The sequence below is a fragment of the Homo sapiens genome, chromosome 11 (assembly GCF_000001405.40).
Source record: "Homo sapiens chromosome 11, GRCh38.p14 Primary Assembly".
Classification (NCBI taxonomy): Eukaryota; Metazoa; Chordata; class Mammalia; order Primates; family Hominidae; genus Homo; species Homo sapiens.
Window position 1 is genome coordinate 41,413,670 of NC_000011.10, and position 19,965 is coordinate 41,433,634.

General features: G+C 37.2%; 1 protein-coding gene across 17 annotated transcripts in view, besides 1 other annotated feature; it reads right to left on the reverse strand.

Annotated features, from left to right (window-relative positions):
• Positions 1 to 19,965, reverse strand: part of LRRC4C (leucine rich repeat containing 4C) — a 1,345,454-nt gene that overhangs the window by 1,299,471 nt on the left and 26,018 nt on the right. The gene's annotated exons all lie outside the window — the stretch shown is intronic.
• Positions 13,744 to 14,345: an enhancer, noted in NCBI's record as "NANOG hESC enhancer chr11:41448963-41449564 (GRCh37/hg19 assembly coordinates)". NCBI's record gives its function as "activates a minimal SCP1, AML or CMV promoter by ChIP-STARR-seq in primed H9 embryonic stem cells {active_cell/tissue: H9 hESC(primed)}" and the evidence as "EXISTENCE:reporter gene assay evidence [ECO:0000049][PMID:30033119]".

Here is a 19,965-nt window from a genome sequence, read left to right on the forward strand (position 1 = left end):
TGTAACTAACACTGGTCCAGAAATAAACACATCTATGGCATAAAAGTAAGGCACAATTGCCCCTGAAATTTGTGAAAAAGTCAAAAAGCAAAAATTGCGTGATGCTGGAGTTTAAATCAAGGTGTTGTCACTTAACAGATGTGTAACTCAAACAATGTTTTTTGACAACTCTGGGCTTGTTTCCTATAGCAAGATTTGTGAGAAACTTACAAATATCACAACGGAGCTATGGTAATCACTAAATGAGATATCTAACTTGGAGCCTCCTAGCAATGCTTACAACATGCTTAGGGCTTACTTTCAAAGAAACCTGCTTTAGTGCTTTGTAGTCAGACACATCTGGGTTTCTGTTCTAACTTTCACTTCCACCCTGTGTGATTTAGGCAAGTGCTCATTTTCTCTGACTTGCTACATTCTCACCTGTAAAAGCAGCCTGAGGTTGTTGTGAAAACGGAAAGGATGGTATAAATAATGCCTAGCACATTGCTTGGAACATAGGACACACTCAATGCCTGACAGCTCTTGATAAGTGTGTTACTTCCTATGTTCCCGAATTTGAATTGACTGTATTGCATTTGAGAAAAAAGAAGAGGCAAGATTCCTCCCCACAACCTACAAACAAGCTCCTCTCTTATCTAATTTGGAAATCAAGAATGTTTTCTTTAAAATTAAACCATTTCTTTACTATGCCACACGTGAAAGAGAGCTCTCTTTTATAGGTGGAGAAAAAAGTCTGGTGTCACAAGACAGAAAATACCTCTGGGATTTTTTATTCACGAATAGCATCAACAACTTGTGATTCTCTCTTGCAGTCTCTTCCTCCCACCCTTGCCATTGCAAAGGTGGGGCTAAAAGGTAAAAATGGCTCTTTTTTTTTTCTAGTCTTCCATTAAAGTCTGTAATGTTTTCTTCAAGTTGCTCCAGGAGTCCTGGTTTTTGGAGAGGTTCAGAACAGAACATTTTACTGGCAGAGAATGGCCTCTGGAAAAACCAGGCTTCAACACTTAAAAAGATAAAACCTGGGAGAGAAGTGGGGAGTAAAGGTTCAATTCTTCCTCAACTCGAGAAAGATAATAGGAAAGTAGAATTAGCCAAAATAAAAGATTGTGCTATACGTCATTAGTCTCCTAACTTTGGTTTGAATAATGGTACTCTAAAAAAAGAAAAAGAAAAAGAAAAAGAAGAAATCTTCCCCAGCAATTTGATTATTAGGTCACTTCAAGAGAGGCAATTTAAGGAACCAGCAAATGCTGCTTGGGGAACTAAAATAATAACAGGCAACACTAATATAGCACCTTTCCTCTTCAAAGCACTTTACAAACATGAAGTAATTAGGCCAATTAAAACTTGAAAAAGTAGCCTATTTAGACACAATCTTCTTTCCACATACAGTGCATCTGCTGGAAATTACTCTCTAGCCTTGTTTTCAATGCAAAAGATGCTCATAAGTAAACAACTATAAGTAACTAGCAGGACTTGAATCAGAATGAGTTGGGTTTAGAAGTATTTAAGGCATTTAAACCAAAAGTAAATTTCCCACACTCTAATTCTCCTCCAGCCACAAACCCTATGTAGGCAAGTACTTCCTGTAAGTGCCAGGTAGTTATGGACGGGTGTTATCAGCAGAAAACACAGATAGATAGTCCAGGGAGTGAATGGACAGAAGGTTTGAGGTTTGCCTCTTCATAGTAAACTAATTTCCAAAGAGGAGTCCCCGAATGACTGAGCAAAGCGGTGTAGTGTTTTGAATTAGAAAGCATTCTGAATTAGGAGTAAAAATTTAAGTCCTTGTTCAAGTTTAACCGCTAATTCACTATGTGACTTGGGAAAATGATTTAATCTAATTTATGGTTTCAGTCTCTTTATGTGAAATGAACTGCTTGGATTAGATCCATGGTTTTCAAAGTATGTTCTGAGAGTACTGTGTGTCCCCAACATGGATGGGTAAAAGCCTCGAGTCTGTACTCAGTTTAAGAGAGCAGCAACGTTTTAATTCATTTTAGATGTTGGATTTTTATGAGATGTTGTAAAGAGTTCCATGTCTAATAGATGGATGATATCTAAATTCGTTTGCAACACTGATATTCTGTGATTTTATGAATGCTTCTAAACCTCATAATGTATAGGATATGTTTCAATGAAAACTTTCATTTCATTAAGCTAACTCTTGGATCAGAGGAGGAATGAGAATATAGACTGCTTTTGAGCTCTTTCTGTGCACTGTAAATCAGAGGTAAGGAGGATTATTTCTGACTTGTCCAAGTCCAGGTGTGGTAGATGTTAGCAGAGAACTCTGCCAGGTTTCTCCTCTCTCTCTCTCTTTGAGCTTCTTTGCTTGATACTGGGTGGCTGATTCTGATCATCTGGGGCTCCAGGTCTAGGTTTGGGGAAGGAGATAGGAAGCTGCATCATATCCCTCGGTATTACCATTTTTCAGAGAGTCATATAAAGCTGTTAATTTGTTTCATTTCTCCGATTTGTGAGTATGTGTACTCTATAATACAGAATCTCAGAGGAGAAGAGGAAAAAATGGAACAACCGGGGCAAATAATTCCATCCACCCCTACTCACACTTCCCACCGTTTTACATGGGAGCTAGGCTATTTTTAAGAACCTTCTCTGACAGTGAACTCCAACAAACTGTTATGTTGAGTGGTTCATCTATCACTATAAACCATATTATCAATCTTAATAGTACAATGAAGAAATTGAGGTCAAAAGGGTAAATGCACAAAGTCCTAAAACTTGGTTGGCAAAACCAAGAAAGGAACATCAGGCCTTCTGACTTCAGCTTTTGTGATTTTCCCATCACTGAACCGCTTCTGTATTGATGTAGCATTAATATAGAACTCATGATCTAAACAAAGCAAAGCAAATCTTTCTTCCTGTACTTCATGTTACGGACACTTTACTATGTTTTCTTTTCTGAATCTCATGGCTGGGGGACAGTGCGTGCAAGGGAAGGAGTATGGGTTTCAAGTCAGGGCAGCTGGCTCTGAAATTAATGTACCAAGGGACTTTACTAAAGTGAATACATAACCATGATGTGTCTAACTGCTTTTCTTATTTTAGAAAGTGTAAATATTATAATATCTACCTAACTACTTCATAGCGCTGCTATGAGACTTTTTACATACTATGTGTGAAAACGCATCAAAAGTACTCGAAAATTCTCTACATACCCCTGGTGTCATTTGAGGTGTTTTCATTTCTGATGTTTTCCATCTCTTGTGGCGTGGCAACTGAGTAATGAGCCAAACTAAAGAGTTTCCCAGTAGCACACATTTCCCCAATGAAAATAAAGGATTCCTAATTCCAGATGGAAAGCATTTTGGCATTTCCTTAAAGAATACCAGTAGTGAATTAAAATAGAAATAGATGCTCCTTACTGAGAAGTCTAGCAACTCATTTATAGGCCTATCCACACTCTAATTAAAATAGCACAATTATCTAGGAAATTGTGAGGAAATGCCATCAATACTATTGACTGTTACTGCGATGCTAGCAATCACAGGATATATACTCAGTGACAACACTTAATGCCCGGAAATAGGATATAAATGAAAAACAGTGAATTATGACTGCAGGATACTAGGAGAAGTTGTAGCAATGGCTAAAGTGACCTAAGAATCAGCCATAGGGCCCTGAGAGTGAACCAACAACATGATTTAAACTAGTTGACCTAAATAAAAGTTGACTGTGGTAAACAAAAATATCACTTTTCTTTTATAATCCTAGATCTAAAAGCAGAGAGGTGCTTGAATGCTTTGCGTGACAATGTATCCCATGCCTCAGATTACATGTAGTGACCCTTGAAAAAGCAAGTTTCTTACTAAAAACCACTACGGAAGAGTTTGGCATAGGTCTAAACTTACTTTCTCAGTTGTGACTAGCAATCATGCAAATCTGCAGATCAGCAAATTAGCACAGGCCCTCAGGACCAGGATCTAAAGTTAATCAGCCCAGCCCTTAAAGGTTTCCAGCTTTTTCAAATGGAATATATTGTTTGAGTTTTACCAACATCCAGCTCCCTTAATCTCCAATTATCTAGCTCTTCTATCAAATAACAACTATACTAGGCAAGTCAGTACTAGATACAGATTTTTATTTGCCTAAAAAAGTGTCCCTGATGCTCATTTTTCTGTACACTATACATATTATGCTTTAATCCCTATTTTTTTCTATTCATTGCTGTTGCTATCCTAGCTAATATTTCTTTTCTCAACAAACACCATATATATGGTGTATGTGTGTGTGTGTGTGCATATATATATACGTATATATACAAATATATACAAATATATACGTGTATATATATACATATACACACACACATAGACCCCCCCACACACACATATGCTGGATCATAGCTCTTAAACTCTATTAGAAAATTACTTGGCTAGCTCAAATATTCCTTTCTACTTAATCCCAGCTTCATGTCTGCCATAACCTGTGCTGAAAAATGTAATACTGCCACTTTAAGCAATAGACTTTTACAAGAATTATCAGATTTACATAGACATATCTGAAATCCGATATGTTTAACCCTGAGACACAAATATAAACTTTTTCAAAACTATGAGAAAATATTCCACTGTTTCCAGTCAGTCCTTCTTGTGAAATTAGCCATTCACAAGAAATATTACCCCTACACTTAAAACAAGGTGATGGGGAATAGGTGCACTATAGAAGCAAGTATTGCCTCTGGTATGGTTGCAGGGAAGTAAAATTTTGTGCAGGTATAAATGCATTTCCTCGAGGAATTAACGGAGTCTCTCACAACCTTCTTCCTGTTTAGAAGGGTCACTATGTTCTGTACTTAAGCCTGTAATATTAAACAGAAAGCAAAACCTGTAAAAGCGCCCATGACACAAAAATGGAAAGGCAGATAACATGTTACAAGATAGAGTAAATATTCAGAGATATCGCCAGCTAGGGGGGTTGGTGAAACATCAACAACGTGAACTATCACAAACATATGATAATAACATGTGAAAAACATGAGCTCTGACACAAAATAAATGTATTTAAATCCCTGCTTCATGCTTAGCGGGGGTCCAGCTAAATTACTTTCTAAAGCTCAGTTTGCTCATATGTTAAATTGGGACAATGAATTGTATTGATTGGGTCGTTGGAAAAACTAAGTCCTATAGCATAAATTAAGGTCATAATACAGAGTCTAGAATGCAATGGTTGAAATAATTAAGGTGGAAAGTAGTGTATGAATTTTAAATATTACCTTCACAAGTGAAAGTAGAGGAAAGCTGGTATGTGTTCATTCATTTCAAAAATGTTTAGTAAAAATATGTTTAGATATCTAATATGCCCAGTGTTGTATCATACTTGGTTCAGAAGATACAAAGTTGAACCAGGCTTGGTCTTAAGCTGAAACTGAGAAGTTGCAATTAAGAAAGAGGCAAAGTACAGATGGAACAAAAATTTACAGTGTAACATTACTAAATACAAACTTCCTGTCCCTGAACTCCACCCTTCCACTTGACTATATTTGTAACTAAGAGGTTGCGCCTCAAAATGTTACCTTCTAAGGGACACTGACCCATACAGCTCCTGATGAACAAGCAGGTCTAAATAACCCTGACCCATGATATAGTCAATTTGTACAGTCATAGGTATCAAATCCACAATGACTCTTATAATATAGGCTAACTGTCCTTCCTCAAGAGAGTGAATTTGGCCAGCAGATTTTGTCTCTCAGGAATTTGGACTAAGAAACATCGAGAGATTGATGCAATTAGCAATGGAAGCTGGAAGTAGAAGGACACTCCAGGTAGGGTTGAGACTGTGAGGGGCCATGTCTATACTGAGATTATAAGACACCAGACAAATGGCCAAGTAGAAATATATGGGGAAAATCAGAAAGGTCACAATGGTGAGAGAAACCCAGAGACCGTAACTAATGCCAAGAGTTTCAAGTTTTTAATGACAATAATAAAAGCTACCACTTACTGAGCCCTTACTCTGCCCTAATTATTCTTCTAGTACTTTATACTGTATTTATTAACTCCTGTAATCATCACAAAACTCTCCATAAACCACTGTTATTTTACTGATGTACCACATGCAAAAATGGAAACACAGAGGTAAAGTCACATATGAAGGTTTCAGAGCTGCTGCTTATTGCAACCAGGATTCAAACTCAAGCCATCTGATACTCAAGCTTCAGAGCCTCCATCCCTGCCATACTATGAAACTCCCCTGCCTTAAGATGCCCTAAATGAGTCTCTCCATCATTCAAAGAGAAAAATCTAAACTAAAGCAGCACCTTTGTACCTTATAAGGCCTCAGCTTCCAATAAAAGATGTGGGAGGTCAGTAATACCGCAGGCCTTCGATGCGGTGGGAGAAGTGCTTTTTCTTCTCGGGGAACATCCTGCTTTGTGTACAGAGCAGTACTGAATTTCTGAAGAGCAGCCTTTGATAGTTTTTGAGGTGGCATTTTTGGATAATAGAACCTTGAAATCATAATGAAGCACTTTTTCTCACAACCTTCCAAGTGCACCACAGGAACCCTCTTATGAATGTCTACATCATTTCTCCAAAGAGATCCAGGGGCAACACAGCCTTCCCCTCCTCACCATGCCACAAATAGAGGAAAAGCAGTTCACAGGAAGACTTCTGAAAAAATAATAGATGTTGAACTCGGTATCCACTATATTGTAAGTTGTGTGATTCCATAATCATTTTTTCCACCTCAAATGTAAGGCTTTTAAAGAAGAAGGTCTATGCCATTTTTACTTTTCTACACGCAGTGCCCCATAAAAGGCTGCACATGGAAAATGATTTTTAAAATGGCTTTTAATGAATGAAAGAAAAATAGAAAGAACAAAGCATACATTGCTAGTGCATATTTTCCTTCCCCAAACAAAAATATAAACACTTTTTAATTTCGTTGGTGCTTTTTGTCCTACGAAAAATTCACAAATATATTTTGCTATTCTTACCATTATTCAGTGAGAGAAGATACATTAAAATCCAGGATCCAGAGCCAGATTTCTTGGCTTTCAATCATGGCCCCACTAATTACAAGCTGGTTACTTAACATTTATCTTCTTAGTTTCCCAGATTAAGAGATTCTCTAAAGAGTTAATAATTACACCTGCTGTCTGAAGTCACATTGAGGATTAACTAAAACAGTAACATGACCAAAACAGTGCCTGGTACATAATAGGCTCTCAATAAATATTCACCTTTTTGTTACAACTATTCAATAGATGAGGAAAAAGGTATTTCCTTGCTCATAGTCACACTATAAAGTATATGAATGTTTGGGATATATAAGAAGATAATATAATGTAATAGTTATGAATGATATTCTGGAATTAATATTTTAGAGTTCAAATCCTAATATGACTTCAGGTAAGTTTCTTTACCTCTCTGTGCCTCAGTTCCCTCATCTGTAAAATGGAGATACTAATAGTCTTCATTCTACAGGATTAGAATTTTGAAAGGAATTTCTATATGTAAAGCTCTTAGGTTAATGATTCACAGTAAGCATAATAAAAACAGTTGTTTGCTATTATTATTACTTAATGTAATGACATCCAGATAGAAAATCCCAACCATAGGCTTTATGTCTTCTATATTTGGAGATATTTCTACAGCTGTACTACTTACCCCTCTGATATGGACTACTACACTTCCATCTGCCATAGCAACTGTTGGTAATTTTGCTACCAATTCAGAGTTCAGATTCAGTGGGAGTGTGTCAGGAAAACACTAATTCAACAGGAATATGGGAGAAGCATGGTTACTTGTTTGGATTTATTTTTCTCAAACCTTCTGATAACATTTTTTCCTTAAAACTGCCCAGAGTAATTATGGTGCTATTGTTATAGCTCAGTAGCAAATGCTGGGTGACTTCTGCAAACAGTTTTATCAAACTGACATTCTAACAAATGTCTCTTGCTAAATGTCAAGTGAGATTTCTGGAGGGGAAAGAAAAATGCCTCTTTTCTTCTTCCACATCCCAAGTTTACGTAGATCAAAAAGACACTGCATGGCTGCCCATTGTTTCAGCAATTCAAACATCAGCAATAATCCACCAAGAATCTTTAATCAGCCAAGTCTTCATTCTTAAAACTGGGGAGAATTAATTATGAATGTGGAATCAGCATCATTGTCGATCCGGGAAGCTAAACTGACTTGGAGTCATGTTTCCTCCTGCAGTTTTAATTAAGCAGGAAGGAGTTCGAGGGTGTAGGACAGAGCAGATTGAGACCGATAAGTGGTCCATTATGCAGGAGACTTTTGTCCCTGATTGTATCTTTAGCTGTGTATTTTTCCTGAAATACATATTCCAATCATATGGCCACATAATGATACTTAAAGGAAGATAATAAAATAAACAGTAAGTAATTTGGTGGACCAGTAGAAGAAAACTGCATTCATGAGAAGGTAGAGTATTCTCTTTCCTAGATAGGAGTGATTAGAGTAATAACTAAAGGGTTGGAGGAAGAGGTCGTGATTAATTGCTGCCTATTGTCATTGTTCTGCCTTTTCCACAGTGATGGGACTCTAATTTTTTTTTCAGTATCTGATAACCATTGTCATCTCAGGGGGCTGAGCTCTTCCCGACCCCAGCCTGGGCTAATCATGATTGGCCTGAACCAACTATGACAATCCCTTCTCCTTGTCAGTACTTGGTTTAGAAAAGGTCTTGTGACAGTTGCTACCCATAAGACCTGTAGGGAGATCTGCCAGTGGCAGGTCTAACAAAGGCTTTCCCATTTTTCAAAAGAGATGGATTTGAGGAAATAATTGTGTGCTAAGATAATACTTGGAATTACTGCCACTATTTTGCAGTCATGAGAGCACCCACTGGATTAAAAGTCAAAATGCTGAAAATGGCAGAGCAAAAAGATGGAAGGACCTGAGTCTTTCATGATACCTTGGTTCCACTGAAACACCAAACCCTAGAACGACTCCACCCCAGGATGTTTTATTATATAATATAATAATTTCTCATTTTTAAAGCACTTTTAGTCAGTTTTCTGTTAGTTGCATCTAAAACATCTTAAGCAACATACAACTCATGTAAAAAGAATTTCACAACATTATTTTAATTTATACTTAAAACAGCTTTCTCAAGTAGATTTTTTTTCTTTTTCTTTATAAGTTAATAAAGAAATAAGAAATACAAAAAGCAGAAACTCAAATAAATGATTTGTCAGCAGAGACGCACTGAATTAGCAGCATTGGCAGAATAAATGCCAGTGGGTGAATGATTTTTAAAAAGCATTTTCTACACTATGCCATACTGCTAGTTTCATCATTGGAAATACATTCATTTCTATTTAATTTCACTTGGCAGTTCTTAGATGCTAAATTCTAGAGATGCAAATATTATACAAATAATGACAACATGTCGGTTAATAGGTACAACACAGTGTAATGATACCCAGTAATAGTGACAAACACTGGGGCTTCAGGTCACAATGACTAACATGAATTTTTAAGAATGAACATAAATATTATAAGGAGATTTAACAGGGTTGGTGGAGGGCCAGAAATCTGGGTGTGGATTATTTGGAGACCCATGGGTAATTGGCCAACACTGGCATATGAGAAATGGAGTGGGTAGGAGTAGTTGGGAGGTAATTCAGAGAGGTAGTTAGAATCCAGGTAATAGTAGCTCCTGTACATCACGCTAGAAAACTTGAACTTTATTCTGTGGATCACTGGTTTTTAAACTTTTCTTGATCCTTAACCTTTTCCTTCAAACAAAACCATATCTAAAAGTATTGAAGCAGATAAAAGAAGACTTTTCTGGTTGAACATATAAAGCACATTGTAAAAGCCACTCTTTGTGGATGATGGGGTGTCATTTAATGGTTTTTAACTATAGAAGTGACATAAAAATAATGATGTCTGAGAAAGATTATTCTGGAGACATCATAGACGACAGATGGTTTGAGAAAGAAATGGAAGCAGTAACTTCAATTAAGAAAAAGAGAACTGGATACTGAGTAGCAAAATACTTCTCAAACATCTCAGAACAGTCCATACAGGACATAGCAAATGCCCAGACTAAGACAGTGGCAGGGAGTCAGGACATGCTTTGCCATTCCTTCTCCTTTATGGAAATAATATTTTCAAAGAGGCTAGGAGGGACAGTAGGATGGCTAGGTCCATCTGTGGCCAATGTCAGCCACAGATAGGGTCTCTGATATGGTTTGGCTTTGTCCCGACCCAAATCTCATCTTGAATTCCTATGTGTTGTAGGAGGGACCTGGTGGGAGGTAACTGAATCATGGACGCATGATTGTGAGGCCTCCCCAGCCACCTGGAACTGTAAGTCCAAAAACCCTCTTTCTTTTGTAAATTTCCCAGTCTCTGGTATATCTTTATCAGCAGTGTCAAACCAGACTAATACAGTCTCACTGAATTAAGCCAATCAGCAATTCTTCATTTCTCAAATGAAGAAAACGTATTCATTTTATTGAGAGCTACTAGAAGAAACTATCCCATTCCGATAGGATGAAGCATATAAACATGTAGCCCTAGATGCTGAAGTGGGCCATCTTATAGCTAAGAGGGGAAACAAACAGAAAATGAAAGAGAATCATGGAAGGGAAAAGGATAGACATAAATAATCTGGGATTTTAACAATATCAACAAGTCACAGTATCATAACTCACAGGAAATTCTCACAACCTTCAGATTTTTCATTTATTTGAACCACTAGGTTTATATTACCATTTAAAGCACTTTGGGTTGAGAGTTCTCTGTTTTACAATTGGAAGTACCTCAAGTAATACAGGGCATTAAGGAATGAAAAATAGAAGGATTTAAAATAAGGTAAAAATCAGTTTAAAATAAGGTAAAAAATCAGCCAACTGAGTGGCTAAATTGGGGGTTGAGGGTGAGGGCAGAGCTCAGGATGACATGGTTTGTGGCTTGTTTGGACCAGTTACCAAGTACCAAGATGGAGTACATTGATAAAGCAAAAGCAAATCGAGATTTGACAGAAGATACCAATTTGTGTTTTAAATGTGTATAATTTATGTGCTTAGAGGTTAATCAGGTAGTAATATAATACGCATTTATTTTAATCAATCGAAAACCCTGAAGAAAGGTCAAAAAGCTATCTTGAGAGTCTTTTAGATTGGTAATATTTAGTGTCATGCTTCCCCAAGGAATATAGATACTTCTGAAGTATTTTTTTTTGAAAATTTATACAGATAGTAGCTGAATACAATAGGTATCTAAAACCAGTAAATGATGTTGAGAATGAATGAAATGATTAATGTAGCCAAATATAGTATTAAACATTAATTTTATACAGAAAGAAATAGGATTGGTACAGAGAAAAATTAAAATGTACAAGATTTTTTAAAGATTGAAGTCTAGATTTCAAAAAGGTTTCTCATTTTCACTGGCTGTTTCAGGTTATGTTTCACGACCATCAAAAGTTAACTATTAAATCCTCACTTTTCCCAGGGGTACTTTGAAAATATATTGTTCAGGAGTCATCATGATTAATTTCATTAAGGGGCTCGGTGCATCAAATTAATCTCCTGATATGACATAAGGCTGTCTGTAAATACCAGAAAGACTGATTTAGGCACCCGAACCTGAGAAAGCAGGAGTTCCCAGAGAGGTGTGAAGGGCAGGGGAAGGGCCAAAATCAAATTGGTCGGTTTCCCAGTTGCTACCTGGGCCTCTCTTTGGTACTTACTTGATTTTCTGGTAAGGGACTATTACAGACAAATACGGGGATGAATTACCGTTCTGGGCCTTGTTTTCCAAAGGGCCTCTGGCTGAGTAAAGAAGTGACTTGACATTTATACTATTGTAAACATTTGGTTGCCAATGAGTTCTAGTTGGCAAGACCTCCGTCTAATTTCGATAACAAAAGTCTTACAGGAAAGGCCCATAAGGCATTTTACACATCAAACAGCTCTTACTGAACAGTGTTTTGATGAAATAATTACAAATGAATCAGAAGAAATAAATTACCCTTGAAATAATAGCAATACTTAGCATTTTCATTTTCAAAGTGTTTAACAAATTACTAATTATTTAATTTACATTCTAGTATCATAACGAAGGGATTTCTACTCTGGTTTTATAAATGGGGGAGCTGAGCTATGGGAGGGGTGATGTGCTCAAGTGTACAAGGCCAATCTAGAAAGAATGGCAACTGGGTTTCAAGCAGCTGTTTCCATGAGTGGAATCGGGAGTGAGCACGTGGGTAAGGGATAGGTTGCCTTTTAGATAGAGCCCAATTTTTTTCCAGTCTCCAGCTTTTCAAGCCTTCAAATAATGCAGTCACATATTGTAGAAAGCTCAGTGAATCAAAAACACTCTTCTAAAACTGAATGTTCTTTTAAACCATACGTTGATAGATTTGTGACTTCACAGTTTGTGAAACTGGGGCCACCTTTTGGGAAATGTGTACAGAACAAGGGACAAGATCTGGATGGTCCCTTCAGGACAGTTATGGGAATCACGGAATGAAGCCAGCACTATGCAGAATCCAGGCAGAACACACTAGTGACATCTTCCCAGATCTCTGCCACTTAACTACATTGACTTCCTTTTCTCTTACTTGTTCCACAGCTTCTAACATAAACTATAGCTTTTGATGCCTCATGTTCCCTTGGGACTTCTCAGGCTGCTTCCATGATCTGGCATCCTGGACTCCGACTGAGAACAGTTATTACCTCCTTGCTGATTTCTGGAGCTGACCACACCTGGAATTCCTTCTGCCAGCTCAGTTCTGTGCTGAAACATCACCATGCAAATGGTCCCCAAAGTAGTCTTATATTTTAGGACCACAGCAGCAAACTGACAGCAATGTATAGCTTGTGCTCGTGTTTTGGTTGCTTGTACAGCCCACGCTGTGTTTGCAAAGGCATTGTGATTAGGCAAGAGTTATGTTCCTCTAAAAACAAGCAGACTCACTGCCTATTTTCCTAACATATTCCTGTTCCATGGTTTAGTATTAGCTAAATGTTTCAGTTTTCTATTAATATATAGCAAACCACACTGAAACTTAGTGGCTTAAAACAGCAGTAATTTTCCAAGGTTCTCTTGGTCAGGACTTTCTTGTCAGTTCTTTGCTCCTCATTATATTGACTGAAGTTACTCATATAACTAGAGTCAGCTAGACACTGCTGGGGTTGGAACACTCAGCATAGCTTGTTGACTTCCCAGGCCTCTCTTCACATGGTCTCTAATCATTGAATAGACTAGCACAAGCTTCCATAAGCATGGCTGCTGGTGACCACAAAAGAGAAGTGGAAATATTCAGTCTTCTTCAATACTGAGTTAAAAGTCCCAGAACATCAATTCTACTGCAGTTGTTTAGTCAAAGCAATTTACAGAACCAATTTGATAATTTCAGGGAGAAGGAAAATATATCTTATCTTTCTAGTTGAGAAATGGTATAGATGTACAGGGAGGGAAGGAATTTATGGTAGATGATGACTTAGGTGATGACCTATTGCACATATACATGCCTTTCTATAAGCATTTGAAATTGGGAGTCTTATTTTTAGTTTTGATGGGAAAAGTGTTCTTAGAGTTCTGGAAGTTTATTAATTTGTTCATTTAGTAGAGATTTTATTTTACTTCTTGTTTGCTGGTTTATTTTTTAAGTATCCACTCTTTGCCTGACACTCTTTTAGGACATGGAGATACAGTAGTGAAGAAGAGAGATGAGATTCCTTCTTCTTTGGAAATTAGATTCTGTCATCAAGAGATAGACAATAAAAAGTCAATAAATAAACAACAAAGAATCTGACCATAAAATGTGCTTTCCAGAGAATGTGTGTTATGTAATAGAGCATGACTAATTTTCTAATGTTGATTAGAAAGCTGAGTTAGGGTTCTACGAAGAAGAGATATTTAAGCCAAGAGCTGAGTGACAGGAAAAGCAATAGCTAGTGTGAAGATTTAAGGCAATGACAAGCTTGATATGTTTTAGAAACAGTAGGAAGCCAGGTGCTGTTTAAATACATGAGCTAAAAAGGAAAGTGTCCGGCCTCTGAGCCCAAGCTAAGCCATCATATCCCCTGTGACCTGCAAGTATACATCCAGATGGCCTGAAGTAACTGAAGAATCACAAAAGAAATGAAATTTAAATGGCCTGTTCCTGCCTTACTGATGAGATTCCACCACAAAAGAAGTGAAAATGGCTGGTCCCTGCCTTAACTGATGACATTACCTTGTGAAATTCCTTCTCCTGGCTCAGCCTGGCTCAAAAGCTCCCCCACTGAGCACCTTGTGACCCCCACCCCTGCCAGCCAGAGAACAACCCCCTTTGACTGTAATTTTCCTTTACCTACCCAAATCCTATAAAACAACCCCACCCCTATCTCCCTTCGCTGACTCTCTTTTTGGACTCAGCCCGCCTGCACCCAGGTGAAATAAACAGCCTTGCTGCTCACACAAAGCCTGTTTGGTGGTCTCTTCACATGGATACGAGTGAGAAAGTGGTGAGAAAGAGAGCAGAGGAGTAGCTGATTATAAAGTAATGTGATTATGAAGGGCTCCGGAGGCAGTTTTCAAGAATTTGGTTTCTATTCCCAGTCTCATGAAAGACATCAGAGAATTTTTAAGTATGTTTCTAATTTTCATTTCTGAGGTCAACTCTGAGAATTAGCTAATGGTGTGGATGTGGGAGGTGAGAAAAAAGTAATTAAGGTTAACTCTCAGAGTCTTATTTAAACAACCAAGTAGATAATGTACTATTTACTGCATTTAAGTATGTTCAAGAATGCACTGGCCCATATGGACAAAAAAACGTATTTTTTTTGTCATGTAAGTTTCAAATGTTTACTAATATCCTTGTGGAGTTTCAACTTTCTGCCTAACAATAATGAAATCCCCAGCAAGGTGAAGTTATTATTGTTGTTAGAACAAAAATTACCTTGGAGTTTCATGAAAAGTCACAGAAAGGTTTGAGTGGCTGCTTGTAGGTATTGTTGGTATACGTTGTATAGGTTGTCATATGTTGTCACCTTTGCTGGTTAGATTCTTTCCTGGGAAAGAGTATAACTAACATACTAGAGGCAGTGCTTTTTCGCTCTCCTTTTCTCTCTTCCTTTCTTTTCCCCACAAGTATTTAATCACCTATTTTAACCAGATATTGATCTTGACATTGAATACACTAGCTTGTAGTCTAATTGAGGAGACAGATGTAATTAAATAGTCCCTAAAAGGCCACAACTGGAGATGTATGTGACTAAGCAAAGATCACTTCAACCCTTGGTATAAAGGCCTCTGGGGAGAAGGTAAAACATCTACACAGAGTTCAATGAGTCTTCTTAGAGAAAAAGGACTGAATATGGTTTGGCTGTGTCCCCAGTCAAATCTCATCTTGAATTGTAGTTCCCGTAATCCCCACATATCATGGGAGGGAACCAGTGGGTTGTAATTTGATCTGGGGGCAGTTACCCTCATGCTGTTCTCTTGATAGAGAATGAGTTCTCATGAGATCTGATGGTTTTATAAGGTATAAGGGGCTTTTCCCTCTTTTGGTTGGCACTTCTCCTTGCAGCCACCATGTGAAGAAAGACCTGTTTGTTTCCCCTTCCACCATGATTGTAAGTTTCCTGAGGCCTCCCTAGCCATGCTGAACTGTGAGTCAATTAAACCTCTTTCCTTTATAAATTATCCAGTATTGGGTATGTCTTTATTAGCAGCATGAGGACGGACTAATACAGGACTGATGTCAAACATATCCTTTGGTGGTTTAAACTATGAAAACTTTTCATGGGATTGAGTAGTCTTGTCAGAGTTTAAAAGAAAGAGAAGAAAGCAAGTGTGCCAACTTACCATTATGGAATGGGAAATCAGAACTACAATAGGTTTGATGAAGAAGACAGCTATTATCACAGTTTATAGGCAGGTCTGGAAACCCAGGTAAAATTTTGCATTGTGGGAACAATGGCTGAGGATGTGAATGTGAAAAACCTGGCTTGTTACCTTGGTGCTTAAACTTGGGGCATCACTTTTGCTCCTGAGGCAAATAGCAAGAACATGGCCACTGCAGTGAATAAGCAGGGCCGACTATGAAAGACATACTCTGCAGAATGGCAAAGAAATTGCAGTGGTGTATTAAGAAGAGTCTCATTCTCTAGCCGTCTGGTGTTTGAAACTCAATCAACCTTTAAAACAAAAAAATAAAAATAAAAATGAAAATAAAATTAAAAGAAAATCCCCTGGAGAGGTTAGATAGGAGGAAAGGGGAAGCTTCCAAATGAGATAATGGCATTCCGGCTAAGTTAGGCAGATGATGGTACTTGTGTAATAAATGGTTAGAGAGGATCAATCATGCCAGTTAAAGAAACCACACCAACGATACACAACAAACATTTCAAGTGTATGTTAGGAAGCAACTGTGCAGGACATAGAGTACAACCTCTAGAGCTAAGCTGCCTGGCTTCAAGTTCCAGTTCTACGGGTACTAACATGATTTTAATCTTTATGTATCTCAATTTTCAATAAGAGTTTTAGGGTTGATTTTGAAGAGTAAATGACTTAATTATTGGGAAGAACAAAGAATGTAGCTGGTATATAATAGGCACTTAATACATGCTAACTATTTTTAATGCATTACCTCATAATTTACAATGCATTGTAAGTGATTGGTAATTGTCAGCTATTATAGCCATTTTTATGCCTCCAGAATTGAAAATACTATGCTTCTCCTTAGGTTTTTTCCTCATACTGGGAAAGAAAATGAAGAAAGTAATGGACTTTTCTAAGTTTTTGGACATGCTCAGATAGCTAGAGAATGAACTCAAACTGTTGTGCCAGTTCCTAGACAACTATTATACTTGCCCTCAGGAAATGACTATATTTCAGGAATTCAAAGGGGATTGTGGCAACATACTGAGATGCTCACCAAATGCATAGGAAATCATCAATATAAAAGACCAGATAAACAGGAAATGTTTTATTCCCCTCTACTCATGTGGACTCTATAATCATTTGAGCTGGACAGGAACAGAACTCAATTTTGTTTTTATGTTCCTTTGGAGAAAATAACTTGTTCATAAATAACTATAAAGAATATCACTACAGTGAGGATATGCTACGTTAATTTAAAAATATGTTATTGTAAAACACTTTGAGTGTACCTATATTTTTGTGTATATATATATATATCTTTATTTTCTCATGAGAGTAGGTCATTAAGGGCACTTACTTACTAGTTGTTCTCATCTTACTTTTTCCCCTACCACTATAATATATGGAATTTACATGAGGAATACATTCTGATAGATAAAGTAATACACAAAATCTTTTACAGTTTAATGCATTGTTGTGGCACTACTCTCAACTAATCAGAGTGTGTATTGTCAGACAAATTTGAATTACTCAATCAGCTTAAATGCAAAAATTGTATTATTTTTCAAAGACTAAAAACATTTATTTGTATATCCACATATTTAATTATTTATTCATATTAATTGTACATTAACCTGAATTTTCATGTATCTACTGTATAAACACCATTTGCTTCATCCATTTACCTTTTAAAAACATTCCTTGAGAATCTATTACATGAGGTACTATTGAAACACTAAGGTTAAAACAGTAATATTAACCAAGATCCAAAATAAAATCTTGCAGTCACAATCTCCAACATAATATACATTAGGAAAAATTTCAAGAGCCTCATAATCTCAGACACTTACTGAGAGAAAGTTAATTTTTAATAAAAGAGATGGAGAAAGAGATCTTCCTTCCTTAGGAAGGAAGGAAGGAAGGAGCCATATTCTGAGCCTGACTGGTCCACCAATGTAGGTATAATGTGATCAACAACTGTATCCAGAGAGCTCTGGACAATTTTCCCCCTTGGTCATCATATTTTATTTTGAAAAATAAACTAGTCATCCAAATACATGTTTCCATATATGACTATAGGGCTCTCAGATTGGTTATTGGTTATTTTGTCTCTCCTACCTGCAAGAAGCAAGATTTCTAAGAGTGTGTGTGTGTGTGTGTGTACACGTACACACACGCACACACATGCCCAGTTAAATTTCTTATTCAGAGCTTCTCTTGAGGACTGATAGAACTACCGCCGACAATATTAAGACACATAAACACATGCAGATAACCAAATAACTCATTACTTAGTGGCACTACCTTATGTTTATTTAAGAGCATTCCATTATAATGCCAATAGGTATATGCGATTTAGGGATAAATCTTTATGGCCCACCTTAGGTTTTTGTGGTGGGCCATGCGCTCTGATTTTGTCCAGCATGTAGTTACAGAGACATCTAGTGGTCAGGTCTAGGAGTATGTCATCTAAAAGAACTGCAAAAATGGATTCATTTCCGCTAGAGGGGCCATTGGCCATGTGCCAAGAAGGGTGGTCACCAGCGAGAAAAGTTAGGTTGAAGTGGTACATTATGCATAATTGGTAGTAATTTGCTGTTTTTAGAGCTTGGAAAATTTGAGACGAAAACAAAGGAGACAGTAGATAATAATAGCAAAACAAAAATTCAAAACAAGGTAAATTAAGTACCTACCCATCTATGGGTATTGCTTCAGGATTCTTGCTTTACTCAGTTTGACTCACCAATTTATCATATTTGAAATGCCATATTAGGCAGTGGAAACTTTAGCTTAACGTTTTATTTGTACATTAAAATACAGGTTTCCGTGGGAGAGGTAACACAATAGCTTGTATCAGTCATTACCACTTGAGTGTGAAGCAGTTAGTCAAAGTCTGGGAGTGAATGAGAGTAGAAGCTGACAAATCTAGGTGAGGAGGATTAAAGCAATGCTTTCCTGGGTAGAAAAAAGGATGCCAGTGTCATTAGGTTATATTAACATTAGATATCATGTGATTTTAATTAATAAAAGAATATTGTAGGTATCAAAGTTCTCAAAAAACAAGTGGTTTAGGGGCTATTTTATGATTCTCAAAGTGGAGAAAATAGTAGAAAAATAAAGAAAAATTAAGGAAAGATGTAGAGAGGAAATGCACAGCAAACATACACACACATGCACAGGCACACAGACATGGAGTCTCCCTATAGGATACTGTCATCATGGCCAGTGCTCTAGAGACATTTTATAATTAAATCATTTTCCTTCATTAAAATCAAATCCTGGTGTAATGAGACCAAAATCAGGGCTGGCATCATTTTTCCCCCCTGTGGTGGAGAAGTACTATAATAAACCCTGTCTCCATAAATATCCCTCAAAGCACTTTATAGTCTGCAGGAAGTTTCCCACTTTTGTCTGAAACTTTGATACTTTGAATTAGAGACAACAGTGGGGTATCAGGTATATATCTCAATTGTTTTAGAAGATAAAATGTTGCATAGAGACAAAGGTGTTTGGGCTATGGCAAAAGGAGGGATTCTACAGAAGGTCACCCTGTGTCTTCTCCTCTCAATGCCTCAATAAAACACCTTGATGACCCCAAGTAATAGCCCAAAATCACAATAGCCCAAGAAGGAAACAAATACAAACTTTCAGAAAATAGTATGTGAAACACGAGTTTATGAAATTATTTAGTTGTGAAATCTATGTCCTGGTATTATTTGCTTATCAAAAATATAAGTTTTAGCTTTTGTTTTTCAGAAAAAAATAACCACTACCAAAGCATATATAACACTCCACTTTCCCTCTATAATTTTAATCATACTCTGCCCCTCTTGATCTCTATGCAATTTTCATGATATGTTTAAATCAAAACCAGTGATCCTGAAAGAAGAAATCTAACATGAATTCCAAATTGGGCTTCTATAGTGTGATGGTTAATACTGAGTTTTAACTTGATTGCATTGAAGGATGCAAAGTATTGATCCAGGGTGTGTCTGTGAGGGTGTTGCTAAAGGAGATTAACATTTGAGTCAGTGGGCTGGGGAAAGCAGACCCACCCTGAATCTGGGTGGGCACCATCTAATCAGCTGCCAGCTAACACAAAGCAGACAGAAAAACATGAAAAGGCTAGACTGCCTTAGCCTCC